Genomic DNA, 23,082 nt, shown 5'->3' on the forward strand with positions numbered 1-23,082 from the left:
GCCCAAGCTGGTCTCAAACTCCTGGGCTCAAGTGATCCTCCTGCCTCAGCCTCCCTAAGTGTTGGGATTACAGGCGTGAGTCACTATGCCCTGCCAGAGTTATCTTTCTAAAATGAAAATTGACTATGTGAATCTCCTGCTTGTCTACCTGTCACCTGTAGATTAAAATCCCACCTTTTGAGGATGAGCATGGTGGTTCACGCCTATAATCCCAGCACTTTGGGAGGTTGAGGCAGGTGGATCACTTGAAACCAGGTGTTCGAAACCAGCCTGGCTAACATGGCAAAACCATTTCTCTACTAAAAATACAAAAATTAGCTGGGTGTGGTGGTGCATGCCTGTAATCACAGCTATTCGGGTGGCTGAGGCATGAGAATTGTTTGAGCCCAGGAGGCGGAGGTTGCAATGAGCCAAATTCTCACCACTGCATTCCAGCCTGGGCAACAGAGACACTGTCAAAAAAAAAAAAAAAAAAATCCCACCTTTTAGACAAGGCATCCAAGGCCTGTTGTAATTTAGCCCCTTCCTCCCTCTTGAGCCTCATGTTTTGCTGTCTTCCTGTCTCAAATCTAATACTCCAGCCACACTTAACCATACACAGCACACTGCTCCAGTCCTCCATGCCCATGTTGTTTGCCCATGTTCTTCCTTCCACCTGGAACCTCCTTTTATGACCCCATCTGCCTAAGACCTTTTTATTTTGTTTTATTTATTATTATTTTTTTTTGAGATGGAGTCTCACTCTGTTGCCCAGGCTGGAGTGCAATGGCATGATTTCGGCTCACTGCAACCTCCGCCTCCCAGGTTGAGGTGATTCTCCTGCCTCAGCCTCCCAAGTAGCTGGGATTACAGGCGCCTGCCACCATGCCCAGCAAATTTTTATATTTTTAGTAGAGATGGAGTTCTGCCATGTTGGCCAGGCTGGTCTCCAGCTCCTGACCTCAGGTGATCCACCTGCCTCGGCCCCCCAAAGTTCTGGGATTATAGGCGTGAGCCACTGTACCCGGCCAAGACTATGCACCTTTCTACCTAAGGATTATTTATCTATGTATTTGATATTTCCTCAAATGTCAATTATCTGTTCATTCATTTAGACCAGTTGCCAACTGAATTGAGAGAAACAAGAGAATTAGGCTTTTAGAGATCCACACTTGCCATCATCTTTTCCACTCTCTTCTTGATCTGAAATCCTTCCACTCTTTCTTCCACGTGATCCAAAACTCTCCCCCTTCAAAGTTATATTACTTACCAGGCCATTCTGGGCAACATAAGCTGGGAGACCGCTTACTAAAGCCCAATGGTCAGGAGGTGGATTCCTGTGAAGGCCAAAGACAAAACGGTGACTCTCAGTGCAGGGATTGCTGGACTAAAGACTAAAATCTGGGTGTTTGCGCTCCCCCTGCTCTCAGGTGGCTCTCAGCACCTGCTTACATTCACTACACCTGACCAAACCCAAAATGTTGGCCAACCATCTTAATGTTCAAATCTAGACATGGAGAAAGGGTGGCAAATATAACATTTTACTGTCTGCCCACCAAGTTTCACCATCTGAGAAAAGAGACAGCATTCATTCTACAGATTGTTACCTGCTGCTGAGCAGAAACAAACACCATCACTTCCCTCATAAAGTTAGAAGCTACTAATACTATGTAGAGAATGAAAAAATTCATCTATGGAGAATTCCTACCATGTGCTAAGCACTAAGCTAAGTGCATTATATACTTATCCCTCACAATACTATAATTTTTTGTATTATTACTTTTTGCTTGTTTGTTGTGAGAAAAAAACACACACATAAACAAGCATTAAAAACTTCACCAATCATTAGGAAATGAACATTTATAAAACCACATGGACATCAAGAACAGCATTGTCAGCTCCTTGGAAGCCATTGACTTTCCCCCGCAATCATAACCTTCTCCCTAACCCCAAAGGTAACCATTATTCTGAAATTATGCTAAATTGCATTTTTGCTTTTTTGTAGAGTTTTAGCTTCTAAGCATGTTTTCCTGTACCTGTTAGTTTAATTTTGCTTATTTTTCAACTCATTTAGATGGCACTGTACAACGTATATTATTTTGTCTGGCTTGTCACGTTGCTGTAATTCATTCATTTTACTGACTTACAGTGTTCCCTACACTACTGTAGCACAATCTATCCATTCAACTGTTGGTGGACATCCCCCATCCCTTCACTTAGGGGCTAATATAAACAGTGCTGCTGTCAACATTGGTGCATATGTGCTCTCAGTTCTACATGGTATATTCCTAGGAGAAGAAGTACTAAGTCATAAGATATTTGTATCTTCAACTTTACTAGATGAGGCCAAACTGTTTTCTAAAATGATTGTAGCAATTAACACTCCTATCAGTGGTCCATTAGAGTTTGCTTTGTTCTCCATCTCTGTCAATACTATTTTCAGACTTTTAAATGACAGTCCTTGTGGTGAGGTCTAGTGGTATCTCATCATAGTTTTCTTTCATATTTCTCTACAAAATTAATAAAATGGAGTAACTTCCATAAATGTATTTGTCATTTGCATTGTTTTTTTGTGAAGTTCCTCTGTTCATGTCTTTTACTCATTTTTAAAAATTACTTTTAAATTTACTTTTACTCATTTTTTGTTCCTTAAATACTACTTTTACTCATTTTTGTTCCTTAAATATTAATTAGAACTCAGGCAGTGGTGTGTGCCTATAGCCCCAGCGACTGAGGAGTCTGAAGTGGGAGGATCACTGGAAACCAAGAGTCCAGGGCCAGCCTGGGCAACATAGGGGGACTCCATCTCTAAAAAATATAAATAAGTAAATATAAACCACTAAGTAGAATTCACCTGTGAAAAAAATCTGGGTCTGGGTTGTCTTTGTGAGAAAGTTTTGATTTATTTTATTGTAATACATATTTTATTGTAATAAAACTGTTATATTTCTTCTTGATTTTGTCAGTTTTACTATTAATTTTTTTCCTCTTATTCTTTTTTTCAAGATAGGGTCTTACTGTGTTGTCCAGGCTGTTCTTGAATTCCTGGCTTTAAGCAATCCTCCCACCTCAGTCTCCCAAGTAGCCAGGATTATAGGCATGTGCCACCACACCTGGCTAGGTTTTTTGTTTTGTTTGAGACAGGGTCTCACTCTGTCACCCAGGCTGGAGTGCAGCAGAGCAAACCTGGCTCACTGCAGCCTCAACCTCTTGGGCTCAAGCAATTCTCCCACCTCAGCCTCACGTGTAGGACTGTAGGCATGTGCCATCACACCCAGCCAATTTTTAAAATTTTTTTATAGAGACAGGGCAACCACTGGCAAGGCTGCTTTGAGCTGGCTATGTTCCTTGCCTGAAGGTCAATGCTTCTGTCAAGATGGTTTGCTCTACGAGACTCTTTTTTATTCCAGATTATGGAAATTTCCCTTTGGGGCCAGAAGTGGTAGTAGCTCCCCCACTAATAGCACATTCTCTTATGGTTCCCTTCATTCCACACACACCTTTGCAATTTGTCCCTCTGTAAATAAACCCTCACCGAATTATCCTGGTTTGAATGTGACACCTATTTTCAGTTGAGACCCTGACTGATATGGATGGATGCATAGCTCATTACTTGTTCAGCCTTTTTACATTTAAACATGTGCATTTGAGGCTGTAAATTTTACATTAAGCACAATTTCACTGCATCACACAGGTTTTTTATTTTTTACAGAGGCTTTAATATGTAATATTTTCATATCTTTCAGCTCAGAATATTTTCTAATTTCCATTAATTGATTCTTTTATCCATAGGTTGTTTGGTTTCAGAAGGGTATTTCTTAGTTCCCAAGCATATGAGAATTTCCTAATTAGCTTTTTGTTACTGGCTTAAAGCAGTGTTCTATCTATATTTATTAGGTTAAATTCATTAATTGGATTATTCAAATATTCTATATTCTGTTTGTTCATTTTAGTTTGCTCCTTAAGTCAATTAGCAAACAGATTCATCTATATCTCCTTGTATTTCTGTTAGTTTTTGTTTTATATTTTTTGAGGTCATGTTATGAGGTGCTTGCAAATTTAGAATGGTAATATCTTCCTGTAATATTGAGGTAGATTGACCCCTTTATCATTAAGTGACTCTTTATCTCTACTAATGCTCTTTGGTATGTCTATTTTTCTATGATATTAATAACATGGTTATACAAGTTTTCTTTTGATTAGCATTTGCATGGTATGTCTTTTTTCAGTCTTTTATGTTCAACCTCTTTGTATTCTCTTTCAGATTAGTCTCCTGTAAACAGGATATAGGATTTTTCATCATATCTTGGGAGTAATCATTGTTGACTAACTTTTGTATGTGCAGAGAAAGATTAAATGCTGCCAATTAACCTATAACGTAATCTATAATGCTTATCACTTGTAATTTTTACTTTATTCAGATCAACATTGCTCTTTTAGCATTTATACACAGATTTTTTATCATATCTCACACTTTTTTCTGTCATTTTGTGCCAGTTAAGATAATTTTTCACTTCAATGCTGAATCATAGCATAATCTCTCTTTAAAATTATTTTACATGGCAATTGAATTCAATGTGAATAGCAACCAGCAATGGTTGCTCAACAATAACTATACTTACAACAATATGAATGGTGGGAAATGAAAATTACAGGAGACCATTGTTTTCAACTAAACTCCTGTAGTAGGGGCCCTAACAGATCGAACTAAAAATTAAAATGAAGTCACCTACATCAAAGTTCCAAGTCACCAAACACTAAATTGCTATCTGACCTTCTGAGAAATCAGGAGAAACAAAAGCTAATTTTCCAAACAAGCCAGTTTCTTTTTCCTTTTTTTTTTTTTTTTTTTTTTTGAGACAGGGTCTCACTCTGTCCCCTAGGCTGGAGTGCAGTGGTGCGATCATGGCTCACTGTAGCCTCCACCTCCCCGGCTCAAGTGATCCTCCTGCCTCAGCCTCCTGAGCAGCTGGGACCACAGGTGTGCACCACCATGCCTGGCTAATTTTTGTATTTTTTTGTGGAGATGGGGTCTTGCCATATTGCCCAGGCTGGTCTCAAAGTCCTGAGCTCAAGGGATCTGCCTACCTTAGCCTCCCAAAGTGCTGGGTTTATAGGTGTGAGCCACTGTGCCCGGCAACAAGCCAGTTTCAATTGGCATGATGATGAAGTTTCCTCTGCTTTAGTCCTTACACACACACAAAGGTAGCCTGAAATAGCTTGATGTTTACTTCTCAGTCATTTTTCTATTGTCCTATTTCCCTGTCCTGCCTTACAAGAAAAGTAGCTTTAAAATGACCAATCTGCTTTTTTGTTCTTTGTTCCTATAAAACCAACCCCTTCTGCTCAACTCATTGGAACACTTACTCTATTTTACACAACAAATCATTGCCCAATTCTAGAATCTCAAATAAAGCCATTTGAGATCTGTAGATGAAACTTATTGTAACTTTGTCTTTTGACTATGGTTATGACCGAGTTCACACCTAGGCAATAACAACTTTGTCATGTCTGCCATGGCTAACAACGATCACACAATTCTATTTCAGAAATGTCAAAAAGTAGAAAACAGCATCTTAGAATTAATGAAAGGTAATGTATTTCTTTCTTAACCAGGCTGGCAATCTTTGTCATTTAACTTGAACATCTAGTTGATTTATATTTTTTTAAATTATTGGCCATTGCATCAGCTTATGCCTATAATCTGAGCACTTTGGGAGGCTAAGTTGGGAGGATTGCTTGAGCTCAGGAGTTTGAAGAAGCCAGCCTGGGCAACATGGTGAGACCCCATCTCTATTACCAAAAAAAAAAAAAAAAAAAAAAAATTATTGGCCAGGCATGGTGGCTCACACCTGTAATCCCAGCACTTTGGGAGGTAGAGGTGAGAGGATCGCTTGAACCCAGAAATTTGAGACCAGCCTGGCAACATAGTGAGACTGTCTCTATAAAACACTAACACGCTAATTAAATAAATAAAATTCAAATAATTGATATATTTGAATTCGAATTTCACCTTGATATGTACATTTTGTTTTCCTACCTGCTCTATGTTCTTCTCTCCTTCTTTCTCCCTCTCTTTTTTAGTGAAAGTGTCTCACTATGTTGCCCAGGCTGGAGTACAGTGGCTATTCACAGGTGCAATCATAGCTCACTGCAGCCTCAAATTCCTAGGCTCAAGCAATCCTCCTGCCTCAGCCTCCTGATTAGCTGGGGCTATAGACAGTGCATCCACATCCAACATCTATGTTCTTCCTGAACTTTTATTTTGCCTTCCTTTGGTTTGATTAGTCATTTATTTACTATTCAATTTTCCCCTCTGTTAGTGTGGATGGCATATACTGTGACAGCCATTCTGCATGTTTACAGACATTCTGGCTGTCTATCCTGGGCACAAGGTCAGACTGCGTTTCCTAACCACTCAAGTAATGTGTGGCCATGTAACTAGCTTTGACCAATAAAATGTGAGTATAAGTGCTATGTGTGTGTCACCTCCAGATGGAGATTTTAAGAGCCAGTGTGTATTTTTCCTCTCTTCTCTGTGGCAAGGTTATTCTATCTTGCAAGGTTCAAAATGGCAGCTGCTTTATCAGCCTTGGCTCCTGCCTGACTACAACCCACCCACCATATCTCCAACCACACCCGCTAGCTGGCAGTGCACCCATACTGGGATGGTGAAATAAATTTTAGTTGTTTATACCACTCAGGTCTCCAGGTCTTGTTATGAAAGCAGAGCCTGGCCTATCTTGGCTGAAACAAAGATTTGTGTCAGAAACAGGGTGCTGCCATAATAAAAAACCTAAAACGAGAAACATAGGTTAGGGACTGGGTGGTAGGCAACAAGATGAATGTTATCAGAAGCTAGTAGGATGTGATGCTGGTCAAGCAGAGACAAACAGAAAATTGCGACCTGTGACCATTTAAGAGACAGATAATGAGTTAATAAGATTGTGGCTCTAGAAGCTAGAAAAGGGGCTAGAAAACAGAATTGTTGAAGAGTATGCTTTTGATAAGGTAGAAAAAAAAAGAGAGATGAACTTTAGAAGATAATAAGGGAATCAGGCTGGGTGCCAGGGCTCATGCCAGTAATCCCAGCACTTTGGGAGGCCAAGGTAGGTGAATCACTTGAGGTCAGGAGTTTGAGACCAGCCTGACCAACATGGCGAAACCCCATCTCTACTAAAAATACACAAATTAGCTGGGTGTGGTGGCGTGTGCCTGTAATCCCAGCTACTCGGGAGGCTGAGGCAGGAGAATCGCTTTAACCCAGGAGGTGGAAGTTGTAGTGAGCTGAGATTCGGCCACTGCACTCCAGCCTGGGAGACAGAGCAGGACTCCATCTTAAAAAAAAAAAAAAAAAGAGAATAGAATAAGGTAATCAGTCCTTATGCAGGCAGCAATAAAGGAATAGAGATAACCTAGAAATTGAGAAACTTGAGGCAGCTTCTCATCCTCACCGGTAACAGACAACCCTGAGAACTTGTTTATCTGGGTGACGGGATTACTACAGTTTGGTCTGGTGACCAAACTGAATCAGCATGGCCTATCACACCCACTTCTTGAAGATTAAGTTGGCATGCAGTAAATCCCTTCAGTTGGACAAAATTGCTGTGGGGGCTAAGACTAAAGGTGTGGCTCTCCCACGAACCGAATTACAGCCTCAAGGCCTCTGCAGTTAAGTTGAGAAAAAGGGCCATGTCTCAGGACAGAACCATGGATGTGGCTTTTAGCACGTGGAGAGGATTCAAACAGAGAAGAAGGTAACTAGGTTTTTGAGAAAGGTCTACTGACCAAAAAAGTATAAGCCCATATTTAAACAGTTTGCAACCGTTCAAATCTTCTAATGGTCATTGAGTCTCAGCTACCTAGATGCAGGACTGAGAGCATTCTTTCCTTTTCTTTTCACTGTCTTCCTTGGTCACACATGAGGGGACATTGAGAATAGGCTTTCTGTGGGGGCTGAGTCAGTTCCTTTGCAGCTTCCTGCTTTTGCTTTGCCTCCTTCAAGTACCAGAAGAGTAGCACTGCAGAAAACAGTTGAAAATCCCTGATTTCATCCCAGTCTCATTCTATACATGGGACTCTAAGGTCCAGACAAACCACTTACTGGCCCTGGCTGTGAGATTGGGACTCAGAGCACCTGACTCACAACCTGGTCCACTGTAGCCCTCATCAAGGCTCTGGTCAAGTCTTCCCCCTTCTTGGGCCTCACTGCTCACCCTCTGAGTCTCTCTACCGTCTCACACTGCCTCCTTCCCACTCTCCCTGCCTCTAACCAACTGTGGGGTCTCATTGGATTTGGTCAGTGTTGATCTTGGAATGAGTATCTTTTGGAAGTTGATAATGTACCTGCAGTTTTCCATGTTTTGAGATGTGTTAAAATAAAAACTATAGGAGGCCCTTGTTTTGGACAAAGCTCTGCACCAAGCTCCAACAAACCAAACTAAAAATCAGTGTGGAGTCACCGTGATAACGTTCCACTTCACCAAATCTAAACTAAGTTGTTTTCTGATCCTCTTAGAGATTAGGAGAGAGGTAAACGCCAATTTCCCAAAAAGTCCTGTTCCAGTCTTTAATAGGCATGATAATGAAGTTCCTCTGCTTTAATCCTTACACCAAAAAAAAAAAAAAAAGGTAGCAGTAACCTGACATTAATCAGTTATTTTTCTACTGTTCTATCTCCCTCTCCCACCTTATAAGAAAAGTATCTTAAAAATGATTAACATGTTCTTTGATCTTTGCTTGTCTTTCTTCAGTCCTTCTCTGTCTATAAAGTCAACCTTGTCAGAACACTTATGTATTTTATGGAATGAAGTGTTGCCCAATTCCAGAATCACCGATAAAGCCAATTGAGATCTTTAAGCTAATTTGTTGTCATTTTGTCTTTTGACAGGTGAAACTTACGGGATGACTTTGATGTCCTCTTTGCCATGCAGGATGTAGTCAATGACCTTGTAAAAGTTAATTTCCTGGCAAAAGAGAGAAAAATTATACTTTTTTTTTTTTTTTTTTTTTTGAGACAGTTTCACTTTGTCGCCCAGGCTGGAGTGCAATGGCTTGATCTCAGCTCACTGCAACCTCCATCTCCTGCGTTCAAGCTATTCTTCTGCCTCAGCCTCCCGAGTAAATGGGACTACAGGCACGCACCACCATGCCCGGCTAATTATTGTATTTTTAGCAGAGTCAGGGTTCCAACTCCTGACCCCATGATCTGCCCACCTCAGCCTCCCGAAGTGCTGGGATTACAGGCGTGAGCCACTGCACCCAGCCAAAAAATTATACCTTCAAGAGTCAAATAGAAGTTCAACAGGAGTATGTCCCTGAAACCAACTTTGTCCTTTTACCATCGTATGCCCCGTAGTTTTTGTTGTTTTAATAAATTAATGTTTTTATTGATATACAGTAGTTGTACATATTTTGCCCCATGGTTTTCAGGAAGTGCCAAGCCTGGCCATAAACTCCCTCCAAGGATGTGCCTGGGCTGCCTTCTGGTGCTCCCTGTCCTCTGCTGACCCTCAGAATTCAGCGTGCTTCACCTTGGAGGCAGCTCACAGTGATCAGGAAGAGGGCTGGGATCTGAGGCTGGGAAGAGGGATAGGAAATCCTCTAAGAGGATCTGGAGGTTGATTGTGTGCAAGTTGATCACACAAGTTGGGACATTTTTGTCATACCCAAATAAAAGAGAGTTGAGAAGCCAGGGGGCAAAAAAGTACTCAGGACACTAGCATTGCTCCCAGAATGTAATTCTTTGCATGCCTGGCTGCTTACGCTACCTGCTGTGACTTGAAACCAGTTTTATCTGATAGTTGCTGAAACAACCTGCTGCAACTCTAGGACTAATTTTACCCACTGCCATTACTCATCAGTCAAAACTTGCCAGCTCCCCAGACCCTTACTGGTGTCAATGAACTTTCTCAGAGAGCAACATGTAATATTTCTCTTTTTTCTTTTAAACACAGGGTCTTGCTGTGTCACCCAGGCTGGAGTGCAGTGGCACAGTCATGGCTCACTGTAGCCTCGAATTCCTGGGCTCACGTGATCCTCCTGCCTTGGCTTCCCAAAGCACTGGGATGACAGGCATGAGCCACCATGCCCGGCCTCATTTCTCTTTTTTATAAAACCGTCTACCTTCTCTTTTTTCTTTGGACATACTGAAGACTACTTAGTCTGCATGTATGCCCCAAATTGCAAGTCTTCCTTTGCCCCAAAACATTAAATATAGAGATTCGTCTCTGCGTTTTAATTTTGACTTTGATAAGTGCAAGAAGAAAGAGATAAAGACGGCTGCCAGAATCTAGGGAGATGGGGAAGTGGTCAGGAGGTTCCCATCCCATTTAAAATCACAGCCAACCAGCCATCCTCCCTGCAGGGTGCATCTCTATGTCATGGCCCCATTTCTCCTTCATGCCTACCACTCAGCTGTTCTCTTTGCTGTGTCGTCACTTCAGACCTACCTTCTCATCATGTTTCATGACCCCAAACTAACTCTCTGCCTCTTCCATCTCTCCCGCCTCCTTGCATTGTTAAAATTCCCATTCTCTTAAAGCAGAGCTCTTCAATTACATTACTCTCTAGCATGCAATTGGATGTTGGCATGTGACTCCATTCCCCTAGCTCTCCAGGGGAAATTCTATTACCTTTTTCTTAGGTCCTCTGTATGCCCAAGCGTGATGAGCAACTATTTCACAAATGAGAAAGCTGAGACACAGAGAGAGGAAAGGACTCACTTGTAGCAAGACAGTGAACCAAAATCAGAACCTGGGTCCTTAATTCCCAGCTCAGTGCTTTTCCTCTATGTCACCTAACGTTAACAGCTTAGTGTTTTACTGTCCGCATCACTGTCACCTTGAACAGGGTTGCTCAGAGTGTAATCCCTGGGCCGGTGCCTGTCTTGTGAACTCTTTACTATTCCAGGAGAAGATAAAAACAGAAACTGAGAGTCACTTAGGAAGTTTTGTAACAATTTGACTGAGTTAGATCAGGTCTGTTTAATTGAATAAAAGGGGATATCTTTTTTTTTTTTTTTGTGACGGAGTCTTGCTCTGTCGCCCAAGCTGGAGTACAAGTGCAGTGGCATGATCCAAGTTTATATTTTGTCTGTCTTTATACAATTTTGTTTTTCTAGGAATATATTTTATCATATTTTTAAAAGTAGCAATCAAAACATACTGGAGGCGTGACTCACTCTCTTGAGTATGCCTGCACTCCCCTTTCTTGAGTGTGTTTTTCACACACACAAAAAAAAATTGGAAATTTTTTTAAAAAGAAAAACCAAACTGTTCCTTTACTACAGGTATTTTGAGAAGTACCTCCCTAGAGATTTCAGTGCAGATACCTGGGCTCCACCCCAAGCCTCCCGACTCAGAACCTCCACAAAGAGGAATTCCTGAACCAGTTAAAGATGTCTGAAGGTCTGTTTGGTTGACGGGCAATCAGCAATGGTCAACTTCCAACTCATAAGGGAGAGGCTCTGCTGCTCAAAGCCTAGCATTGGCGGCAGCTGCACTGACTGAATACTTCTAGGAGGCGAGCTCTGGTTAAACAAAAGGCAGAAGCTGAAACCACTCCAATGGCACAGGCTACCCCCAGGGGTAGTGAGCTCCCTAAAATAGGAAGCATCCAAGGGGAGACTAGATGAACGCTGAAATACAATAAATAAAATGGAGCTGAGACTAGACCTAGAGTGAGGATTCCTGTTCTAGTTTCGGTCCTACTATGGGTGTTCTCTAGGCCTCAGTTTCTCTGGCTGTAAAATTGGAATGGTGGTATGTGTTTGCTACAGCTGTTCAGTAGCAGCTCTCTTTCCCCAAGCAAAGCATGGAAGCTAATTATATGAAACTGTCCTAATGGAATCAGGGCCGGGTATATAGAGTCCCTGCCCCTTTGTTCTCTCTTACTCCCTTTCCTGTCCTCTTCCTTTTCTATTAACCCCTGGTCAAGGCAGCTACTGTGGAACTCTAAGGTTCTAAGGACAATGGGGGAGAAAGAAAATTGTTTTAGAAAATCCATAAAGACCCTCCAAGCTATGATTCTAAGGTTATGATAAGATAGGTAGCAATATCTCTCAAAGATCAAAACAGACATATTATTTGACCCACATGTGGTGATGGATCCTAGAGATATACTCCCAAATGTGGGTAAAAGCATTTTTTGCCCCGTCCAAGGGTCTTAGCTAGACTGCTTTAAAAAGTCTGGAGATGATGTAAGGTCTCTTATTAGGAAAGTGGTTGTACAGTGGACACCACACGTTTCCAGAGCAAGATTGCTGTGCCTGTGCTGAAAGGGAAAGGTGACAAAATATTCAGTTAAGTGAAAAAAGCAAGGCACAAAATAGAATCATAGCGTTAGTGCAGAGTGGTGGTGGTGGAATACGTATACTTCTCTGTGGATATCTGGATATACCTAAATGTTCCTGCAAAGAGAGTTTGCTAACAGCAGCTGCTTCACAGGGGCTGACTAGGAGGAAGGTGGCACTTAATTTCGTATGGAGTGAACTTTTCACTGTGCTCATATATTATTTTTCCAACATACAAACCAATTTTCTTTTTTTATATTTTTTATTTTGCTTTATTTTATTAATTTACTTTTTTTGAGCCAGGATCTCATTCTGTCACCCAGGCTGGAGTGCAGTGGCACAATCTTGGCTCACTGGAGCCTCAGTTTCCCAGGCTCAAGCAATCCTCCTATCTTAGCCTCCCAAGTAACTGGTAATACAGGCACGCGTCACCATGCCCGGCTACTTTTCTTTTTTTCTTTTTTTTTTAGTTAGAGACAAGGTCTCACTTTGTTGCTTAGGCAGGTCTTGAACTCCTGGCCTTAAGTGATCCTTCTGCCTCAGCCTCCCAAAGTTCTTGGATTATAGGCATGAACCACTGCACCTGGCACAACAAACTTTCTTAAAAATATTTTTAAATAGTCAAGTTGTACCCTATAAGCAGTTCTAGAAAGCAAAGGTGGCTGCTTTCTAGAACACTTATTTCCTAGGAGATAAGTTTCTGCCTGCGAGGGGGAGGAGGCAGAGTTCCAGGACCTTCTTGACATCTTTGTCTTGCCTTAGGGCCACCTGTCCTTGGGCCTGTGCTGCTCACTGTACTCCTGGCAGGCTCAGGGCTTCCTGGGCCTGGCTGCTGTCCTACCCAGGGATTCCCACGAGAGTCTTTAGAAAGGTTAGAAATGGACATTTCTAGGCCGGGTGCGGTGGCTCGCGCCTGTAATCCTAGCACTTTGGGAGGCGGAGGTGGGCAGAGCACTTGAGGTCAGGAGTCTGAGACCAGCCTGGCCAACATAGTGAAACCTCATCTCTACTAAAAATATAAAAATTAGCCAGACATAATGGTGGGGCACCTGTAATCCCAGCTACTCGGGAATCTGAGGCAGGAGAATTGCTTGAGCCCAGGAGGCGGAGGTTGCAGTGAGCTGAGATCATGCCACTGCACTCCAGCCTGGGCAACAGAGTGACAGTCCATCTCAAAAAAAGAAATGGACATTTTTTTTGGAATCCCACAGGAGAAAAACTGCAAAGTTTTTCTTTCCCAGAATTAACAAAAAGATCAGTGTGCTTTGGGTAACTAGGCTTTTTCCACTCACTGTATCTCAGTCAAAGTCTTTAAAGCCATATTCATGTACAAATTCACCAGCCTCTGGAAAGTCAAAACTGAGTCATCAAGAGTACCTTTGTTACCTTCTACCTGAGCAGCTGACACAAGGGGCTTTGAAAGAGCCACAGATACCCATGGAAATACACCACTTTTTAAAAGACTGCTATTTTTTTTTCCATGAAGGCTTTTTAGCCTGTATAACTTTTAAATATTTAAAACATACACACACTATTTTATTTTTAAAAGTAGATGAAGCAAGATGTAGCTGACACTGTGAGGCTTTCGACCTAAGATTCGGGAACATTAATTGGTTGGAATTCAGACAAAAGCTGTGTTTCCAAGTGAATGTGGCAGATAAAGCGTGAGAGGGATGTTAGAAGGCAGAGGGAATGTTAAAGGGCCTAATTTAGGCCAGGTGCGGTGGCTCATGCTTGTAATCTCAGCACTTTGGGAGCTCAAGGCAGGAGGATCACTTGAGGCCAGGAGTTCAAGACCAGCCTGGGCAATATAGCAAGACCTCATCTCTATATAAAAAACAAAAACAAATAAAATAAAATGCTGCAATTGGATGAGATCAGAGATCAGAAACTTAAATGCCTAGAGAGGTTGATAAAAACAAAAATGAAAGCAGGGCACAGATGTACATAAAAGAGAGTGGTGGGGGCCGGGCGCAGTGGCTCACACCTGTAATCTCAGCACTGTGGGAGGCCGAGGTGGGCGGATCACCTGAGGTCAGGAGTTCGAGACCAGCCTGGCCAACATGGCAAAACCCTGTCTCTACTAAAAATACGAAAATTAGCCAGGTATGGTGGCAGGTGCCTGTAATCCTAGCTACTCGGGAGGCTGAGGCAGGAGAATCACTTGAATCGGGAGGCAGAGGTTGCAGTGAGCCAAGATCACGCCATTGCACTCCAGCCTGGGTGACAAGAGCAAAACTCCATCTCAAAAAGAGAAAGTGGCGGGGACTGTGGCAAACTAGAGAACTCAGGCCACATCCCAAGGAGGTAGCTGCTACTCAGCTCCAATCAAATTTGCCCTGCTGGATTGTGGGTCCAGTATGGATTAATCATCCACCTTTTCAAAAGAAACTGAGAATTCAGGTATTTATGGAAAGACTTTGATTTTTAAGGGTTAGCCGCCAATTTCCCAGCACTTTGGGAGGCCAAGGTAGGAGGATCACTTGAGCACTAGGAAGTCAAGACCAGCCTAGGCAACATACAAAGACCCTATCTGAGAGAGAAAGAGAGAGACAGAGAGAGAGAGAGAGAGAAGAAAAGAAAGAAAGAAGAAAGAGAGAAAGAGAGAAAAAGAAAGAAAGAAAGAAAGAAAGAAAGAAAGAAAGAAAGAAAGAAAGAAAGAAAAAGAAAGAAAATAGAAAACCTACGTAGCCAAGCAAGTGTATCTGTCAGCTGGAATTGGCTTTCTGGCTACCAATTTGTACATTATAGACTAGATATGAAGGTTTTCTAAGCTCATATTGTCTATAACTCTAAATTCCTGCAAGGTGAAGCCTTGAGTAGGTTGCTTGACCTTTCTGGGTCTCTTTCCACAGCTGTGAAATGAGTATGTTGGTCCCTGTTTGGTCTACCCCGCAAGGTTACTGTGAAACCCCAATAAGATATTAAACACTTAGCTTCTTGTTAGTATAGTGCTTAGAAAGAAAGAAAGAAAAAGGAAGGAAGGAAGGAAAGCAGGAAGGCAGGAAGGCAGGAAGGAAGGAAGGAAGGAAGACCACTTTGCAAATGTTAGGGATGTTAGGGCATGACAATTATGAGGAATTATTGTTGCTGTTTTTTTTTTACTTTTTTTCTCTCTGTTGTTTTATTTTACTTTTAGCACCTGTCTGCTATTGAATATGAGAGATTATTCTAACTTCAAAGGAGACAACCCAACGCAAAGACAAATACCTATATGCTAATAAAAAATCCTTTAACAGGGTTTACTGTGCCTTGCATTTGAATATATTAAATCATACTGAAAAGGTCAGAGAGAACGTACTCTTCCATCCGGAGTCCTGGGACCAGAGTAAGGTGGAACTTCACCCATCAGAACCGGCCACACATCAAAAAATTCCTAGGAATGAGAAAAACAATAATTACATGTTTTGAAAAGAGATCAAGGAAAGGAGATTAAGATGTCCCACCTCCATGAGTCAGCTAACACTGAAATTTAGAAAGTGAGAAGAACTCAGTGAAACCTAAACTTGGAAAGGCAGTAAGACTCACTACAGTTAGAAAATAGTCACATTTGCCCTTCAAAATATTGATGAACTGGGCCTGTCTAGTCATTAGCCAAAAACATGGGAGCTGAACTGGGGCACCCTCAGTGTTATTGGACATGAGAGGGAAAGCAGGGTCTTTACGGCTAAGAAATTTACCTTAAGACCATGCTAATATGTGCTCAAAGATTTAGCTAAAACAATGTCCCAAGCAGTATCATTTATAGTAGTGAAAAATTAGAGACAATATAAGTGCCCAAGAAGAAAGGACTTATTAAATCAATTATGGTACATCTATTAACAATGATGTTACAGACGTGTGTGTGCTGATTGGAAAGATGATACACTGATAAGTGACAAATGTGAGAGGCCAAAAAGAATATATCATGTGACCCTAATGTTCAATTATATATAGAAACTGTCATGAATACATTTACAACAAATTATTATTATTATTATTATTATTATTATTTTGGAGACAGGGTCTCGCTCTGTTGCCCAGGCTGGAGTGCAGTGGCTCCATCTCAGCTCACTGCAACCTCCACCTCCCGGGTTCTAGCAATTCTCCTGGCTCAGCCTCCCAAGTAGCTGGGATTACAGGTGTGTGCCACCACATCCGGCTAATTTTTATATTTTTAGTAGAGATGGGGTTTCACCATATTGGCCAGGCTAGTCTCGAACTCCAGACCTCAGGTGATCCATCTGCCTCAGCCTCCCAAAGTGCTGGGATTACAGGCATCAGCCACCATGCCTGGCCCACAACAAAGTATTAACAAGTGATTTTCTCTGAGTGATTGGAATCAGACTGCAATTTATTTAGAAATTTTTCATAACAAACTTTATTGCTTTTGTAATCAGGAAAAAATATTTTTCACAAATAAGAAAGAAAAAAATGATATCAAATATGGACAATAGACCTATATCTGGGATCCAATAAGAAAGGCTGACACCTGTAAGATAAGTGGCTGCTAAAGCAAAATACACAGGTGCCTTAGCCTGAGGCTATCTCTGTTCTTCCAGTTTCCATGTAATAATTTGAGCTCCTACAAAAGAAACTGCAACCTCAGTAGGCAAACAAACCAAAACCCAATTTAGGAGTATATTACTGTAACAAATGGTCGAGTTTCAACCAATCACAGGCAGCCCAACTGATCAGATCATGTCCAAATCAGACAAATGCCCTATTGTAACTAATCATGTTATTTCTATACTTTACTTCCATGTTCAGCTATGAAAGCTCACTGGCCTTGCTGTGCAGCAGAGCTCTTTGAACCTCTTCTGGTTTTGAAGGTTGCCCAATTCATGAGTTGTTCGTTGCTCATATAAACTCTGTTGAATTTGTTTTGTCTAAAAGTGGCCAAGGTCGGGCACGGTGGCTCACACCTATAATCCCAGCCATTTGGGAGGCTGAGGCGGATGGATCACTTGAGCCCAGGAGTTTGACACCAGCCTGAGCAACATGGCAAAACCCCGTCTCTACCAAAAATACAAAAATTAGCCGGGCGTGGTGGTATGTGCCTGTAATCCCAGCTTCTCAGGAGGCTGAGGCAGGAGAATCACTTGAACCCGGGAGGGGGAGGTTGCAGTGAGCTGAGATTGTGCCACTGCCCTCCAGCCTGGGTGACAGAGTGAGACTCTGTCTCAAATAAATAACATAACATAACATAACATAACATAACATAACATAACATAACATAACATAACATAACATAACATAACATAACAAACAACAACACTAAATAAAAGTGGCCAAGACACAGGCAGAGGGAAGAGGAAAAAGAGCCAGCAAAGGAGCTGCACAGTCATGCAGCCTCAGGAGAGGCCAACTGAGAACCACACAGGTTCTTCCCCACTACTTCTTCATGGTTTCCTTTGCCCATAGAGCAGCAAAGCTTGTGTGGGGTCAAGTCTGGGCCTGAGAGAGGGGCTTCCATCCTCCAGTGCCCTTTCTGTTCATTCATCTGTTACTATACAGGGACAAACCGTGATCTATTAGCACTGGGTTACTGTGGGTAGGATGCCAAGCCCTCCTCATTCCTCTCATTTGAACATGTTTGTCATGGTCTGCTTATTCTAATATCATCCAGAGAAGCAGAAGGGAAGCCACATGAAATGCAGAGTCCATGTTTTTGCCCTTCTCCCCAGTTGAGCTCTTTTTCTAGACTACCAACAACAGGAAGAAATTTAATTCTAGGTGAACATTTAGAAAACAATTTTAATTCTAGGCAAAAATATAACCAGGCCCTACCTGAGCCCCACAACCTGCTGACTGCTAGTTATACACAGGCGAATAAGGCACAGTTTGTATCCTGGAAGAACTTATTGTCTCATGAAGAAGATAACTAATAGTGAGGTAAATGAGGCAAGAACCAAAACAGTGCTGGAAGGAGAGGATAAATGCTAGAGGAGCCCAGAAGAAGAACAAATATATTGGCCTGACACCTCATGTGGGCCAAACACTGAGTGGCTCCAAAGATTGTCCCAAGGAGAAGAGAAGTTGTCAAACAAGGGGTTGTATGGCCAGCATTGTCTTTAGTTATAAGAATATTTAGAAATAGATATATATATATTTAGTTATAAGAATATTTAGAAATAGAAATATATATATATTTAGTTATAAGAATATTTAGAAATAATTTTTAATGTCTAGCAATAGGGGAAAGGATAAATTAATTACGGTATATTTATACTACTCAAATGAATGAGATAAATCCATATGGACTACAAAACAAAGAGAGAGGATTCCTACTTCTGTTCATGATGACTCGTTTGTTTCAGACCAATCCTCCAACTGGAAAAATTACACCATCTGGACTGTGTGTATGTGTATGAACATTTGTTTATGTGAAGGACTTATATAGCCGGCAAGGCAGCAGGGAGTTAGTGGGCCAAAATCCCAGAGAGAAAGGAAACCCAGAGATGTAAACCTGACCCTTGATTCGACCTTTCCTTTTGACCCACTTGTTGATACCAAAGATGCTGTGAGCAGCTAAGAAGCTGAGCCAAGCTTACGGAAGACTCACTGGGCAAGGAGGACAAAATTGGAATTCAGAGCCTGCCAAGGAGGAGAGACCCTTGAAAACACCCTAGGCTGGGATCCTCACGCCCCAAGAAGTAAAAGTGAACCAGAAGCAGACCAGGCCTCACGAAGACTGAAGACCAGCTTCACATCAGTTCAATTCCTAAATGGATTGAGGTTCTCTGCCTTTACCCCAACTGCTTGCCAGAAGTAAAACCATCCCCTTTGGAGGAAGATAACATATTTCCATACATGTCTCTAGTCTTCAAACAAAAATAATAAAGCATGTAACAGACAATTCACGGAAAAATCTAGAGGGGAAACAGATCATAGAAATAGGTCCATAGAAGATGCCTATAAATATTATAGCTTTCAGACAGAGACTCAAAAATAACTGTGATTATGTCCAAGAATCAAGTACAAAACAGAGAACTTTAGCAGAGAACTGGAAACTACAAAAACAGAATGAGTTGGAAATTCTAAAATTGAAAAATATCTAAAGTTAAAAACTCAATAGTTTAACAGTCAATTAGACACTGTTGAAGAGAGAGTTAGCCAGGCAGTGGCTCACGCCTGTAATACCAGCACTTTGGGAGGCCAAGACAGGCAGACCACTTGAGGTCAGGAGTTCGAGACCAGCCTGGCCAATATGACGAAACCCCATCTGTGCTAAAAACACAAAAATTAGCTGAGCATGGTGGCCTGCACTCATAGTCCCAGCTTCTCAGGAGGCTGAGGCATGAGAATCTCTTGAACCCAGGAGGCGGAGGTTGCAGTGAGCCAAGATCATGCCACTGCAATCCAGCATGGGTGACAGAATGAGACTCTGTCTCAAAAAAAAAAAAAAAAAAGAGTTAGTAATTAATAGAAGATGGATCGAAGAAATATTCAAACTAAAGCACAAAAAACGAAATGATGAAAAACACACAAAGAAGTATAAGAGACACAAACCATGGTGAAAAAGTCTAACATATAATAATAATAAACTTAGAGGTCTTTTCATTACCAGATATCATGATATTTTATAAACATACTGAAATTAAGACAGGATAGTATTGCAGAAGAATAGGTAAATATACCAATGGAGGCTAGGCATGGTGGCTCACACCTGTAATCCTAGCACTTTGAGAGGCCAAGGTGGGCAGATTACTTGAGATCAGGAGTTCGAGGCCAACCTGGCCAATATGGTGAAACCCCATCTGTACTAAAAATACACAAATTAGCTGGGCATGGTGGCACGTGTCTGTAATCTCATCTACTCGGGAGACCAAGGCAGGAGAATTGCTTGAACCTGGGAGTTGGAGGTTGCAGTGAGCCAAAATCGCACCACTGCACTCCACGCTGGGCAAAAGAGTGAGATATCTGTCTTGAAAAAAAAATTAATTAAAAAAAACATATATATATACCAATGGAACAAAATAGAGAATCCAGAAACAGACCCATACATATATGGACACTTGGTTGATAATAAAGGTATGATAGGGAAGGATGATCTTTTCACTAGAAGAGTAGGGAAAGAATGGTCTTTTCAATAAACAGTGCTGGGCCAATTGGATGCTTGTACAGAAAAATGAATACTCACATTACTTCACACTAAACATAAAAAAGTTCCAGGTAGATTGTAGAGCTATATGTGAAAGTTAAAACAATAAAGCTTTTAGAATTTGACATATGTAAATATCTCTACAATCTTAGATCCAGGAAAGATTTCCTCATTACAGCACAAGAATCAATGACTATAAAGGAAAAGATTGATAAATTGAACTACATTATCATTCAGAACTTATATTCATAAAAACACACCATTAAGAGAATGAAAGCATGGGCCAGGTGCAGTGGCTCACGCCTATAATCCCAGCACTTTGGGAGACTGAGGTGGGTGGATCACGAGGTCAGGAGTTCAAGGCCAGCCTGGCCAACATAGTAAAACCCTGTCTCTACTAAAAACACAAAAATTAGCTGGGTGTGGTGGTGGGGGCCTGTAATCCCAGCTACTTGGGAGGCTGAGGCTGGAGAATTGTTTGAACCCGGGAGGTGGAGGTTGCAATGAGCTGAGATCGTGCCATTGCACTCCAGCCTGGGCAACAAGAGCGAAACTCCGTCTCCAAAAAAAAAAAAAAAAAAAGAGAGAGAGAGAGAATGAAAACACCAAGTGGGAGAATACAGTCATGCGTCACTTAATGGCGGGGATATGCTCCAGGAAATGTGTGTTTCTTTGGGCAATTTTGTCATTGTGTGAACATTGCAGAGTGCACTTGCATTACTCCAGATTGTATAGCCTACTACACACCTAAACATAGCTAAACATAAAAAACACAGTAAAAATAAGGTATAAAAGTTTAAGAATCATACACCTATAAAGGGCACTTAGCATGAATGGAGCCTGCGGGACTGAGAGTTGCTCTGCGTGAGTCAGTGAGTGAGTGGTGAGTGAATGTGAAGGCCTAGGACATTACTGTACGCTACTATAGACTTTATAAACACTGGACACTTAGGCTACACCAAATGTATTTTTAAAATTTCTTTCTTCAATAGTAAATTAACCTTAGCTTACTGTAATTTTTAATTAATTAATTAATTATGTTAGAGATGAGATCTTGCTCATCATAGCTCACTGCAGATTCGGACTCCTGGTCTCAAGCGATTCTTCTACCGCAGCCTCTTGAGTAGCTGGGATTGCAGGTATGAGCCACCAAGCCTGGCTTGTAACTTTTTTACTCTATAAATTTTTAAATTTTTCTTTATAAAATTTTTTATTTTTAAAAACTTTGACTCTCTTGTAATAACACTTAGCTTAATACACAAACACATTATACAGCTGTACAAAAATATTTTCTTTTTAAAAAAATCTCAAATTCTGTTATTCTTTTTTCTTTTTTTATGTCTTTGGTGCTTGAATCAGAACAAAAATATTTGCTTTATATCTTTATCCTACAAGCTTTTTTTCTCTTAAATTTTTTTTTCTTTTACTTTCTAAACTTTTTTGTTAAAAACTAAGACACAAACACACACATTAGCCTAGACCTACACAGGGTCAGGATCATCAATATCCCCATCTTCCACCTCCACACTTTGTCCCCCTGGAACGTCTTCAGGGGCAAAAACACGCATGGAGCTCCCATCTCCTATGATAACAATGCTTTCTTCCAGAATGTCTCCTGAAGGACCTGCCTGAGGCTGTTTTACAGTTAACTTTTTTCTTTTTTAATAAGTAGAAGGAGTCAACTCTAAAATAATGGAAAAAAGTTGTAGTATAGTAAATACATAAACCAGTAACATAGTTTTCTAGTTTTCTATTATCAAGCATTATGTACTACAGCTCATAATTGTATGTGCTATATATATATATATATATATATTTTTTTTTTTTTTTTTTTTGAGACGGAGTCTCACTCTGTCACCCAAACTGGAGTGCAGTGAGTGGCACAATCTCGGCTCACTGCAACCTCCACCTCCCAGGTTCAGGCAATTCTCCTGCCTCAGCCTCCTGAGTAGCTGGGATTACAGGCACCCACCACCATGCCCAGCTAATTTTTTTATTTTTAGTAGAGACGGGGTTTCACCATGTTGGTCAGGCTGGTCTCGAACTCCTGACCTCGTGATCCGCCTGCCTCGGCCTCCCAAAGTGTTGGGATTACAGGCGTGAGCCACCGCGCCCGGCCTGTATGTGCTATACTTTTATGCAACTGGCAGTGCGGTAGGTTTTTCTTATACCAGCATCACCACAAATGTGAAGAATGCGTTGCACTATGACATCACTAGACGATAGAATTTTTCAGCTCCATTATAATTCTATGGGACCATGGTATAGGCGGGCCATCATTGATCAAAATGTTGTTATATGGTGTGTGACTGTATTTGCAATGCATGTATTTGAAAGTGGACTTGTGCCCAGAATTTGCAAAGAACTCCTACAAATCAGTGAGATAAAAAAGACAATGTGATTTTTTTAAATGGAGGAGAAACTTGAACAGTCACTTCAAAAAATAATACATCCAAATGGCCAATAAACGTATTTTAAAATATTCAACCTCATCAGTCATTAGGGGAATTTATGTTGATAACAAAAGAGATAAAGCCACATGCTCACCAGAATGGCTAAAGTTACTAAGAATAATAATACCAAGTATTGATGAAGAAACCCTTGATACATTGCTGGTGAGGGTATAAAATGGTACAATCATTTTGAAAATCAGATGGGCAATATCTACTAAAGCTAATACTCTGAAATTCTACTTCTAGGTAAATACCTAACAGAAAGGGCACAACTG

General features: G+C 41.1%; 1 protein-coding gene across 3 annotated transcripts in view, besides 1 other annotated feature; it reads right to left on the reverse strand.

The window, feature by feature from the left end:
* The window catches only part of PDE6A (phosphodiesterase 6A), an 86,841-nt gene that overhangs the window by 48,110 nt on the left and 15,649 nt on the right, over positions 1–23,082 (reverse strand). For 2 of the 3 annotated variants that reach the window (NM_001410788.1, NM_000440.3), the window contains 3 exons: positions 15,573–15,647; positions 8,881–8,945; positions 1,250–1,316 (listed from right to left, as the gene is read on the reverse strand). In NM_001410788.1, the coding sequence (NP_001397717.1) occupies positions 1,250–1,316; positions 8,881–8,945; positions 15,573–15,647 (207 nt within the window). Of the gene's footprint in view, positions 1–1,249; positions 1,317–8,880; positions 8,946–15,572; positions 15,648–21,839; positions 21,951–23,082 lie in introns of those variants that run through there. The other variant, XM_011537650.3, reaches the window with a different exon arrangement.
* Positions 9,584–9,878: a silencer, noted in NCBI's record as "tiled region #12732; K562 Repressive DNase matched - State 7:EnhWF". NCBI's record gives its function as "represses a minimal TATA promoter and a strong SV40 promoter by Sharpr-MPRA in K562 cells {active_cell/tissue: K562}" and the evidence as "EXISTENCE:reporter gene assay evidence [ECO:0000049][PMID:27701403]".

Source organism: Homo sapiens, chromosome 5 (genome assembly GCF_000001405.40).
Source record: "Homo sapiens chromosome 5, GRCh38.p14 Primary Assembly".
In the NCBI taxonomy this organism is placed as follows: Eukaryota; Metazoa; Chordata; class Mammalia; order Primates; family Hominidae; genus Homo; species Homo sapiens.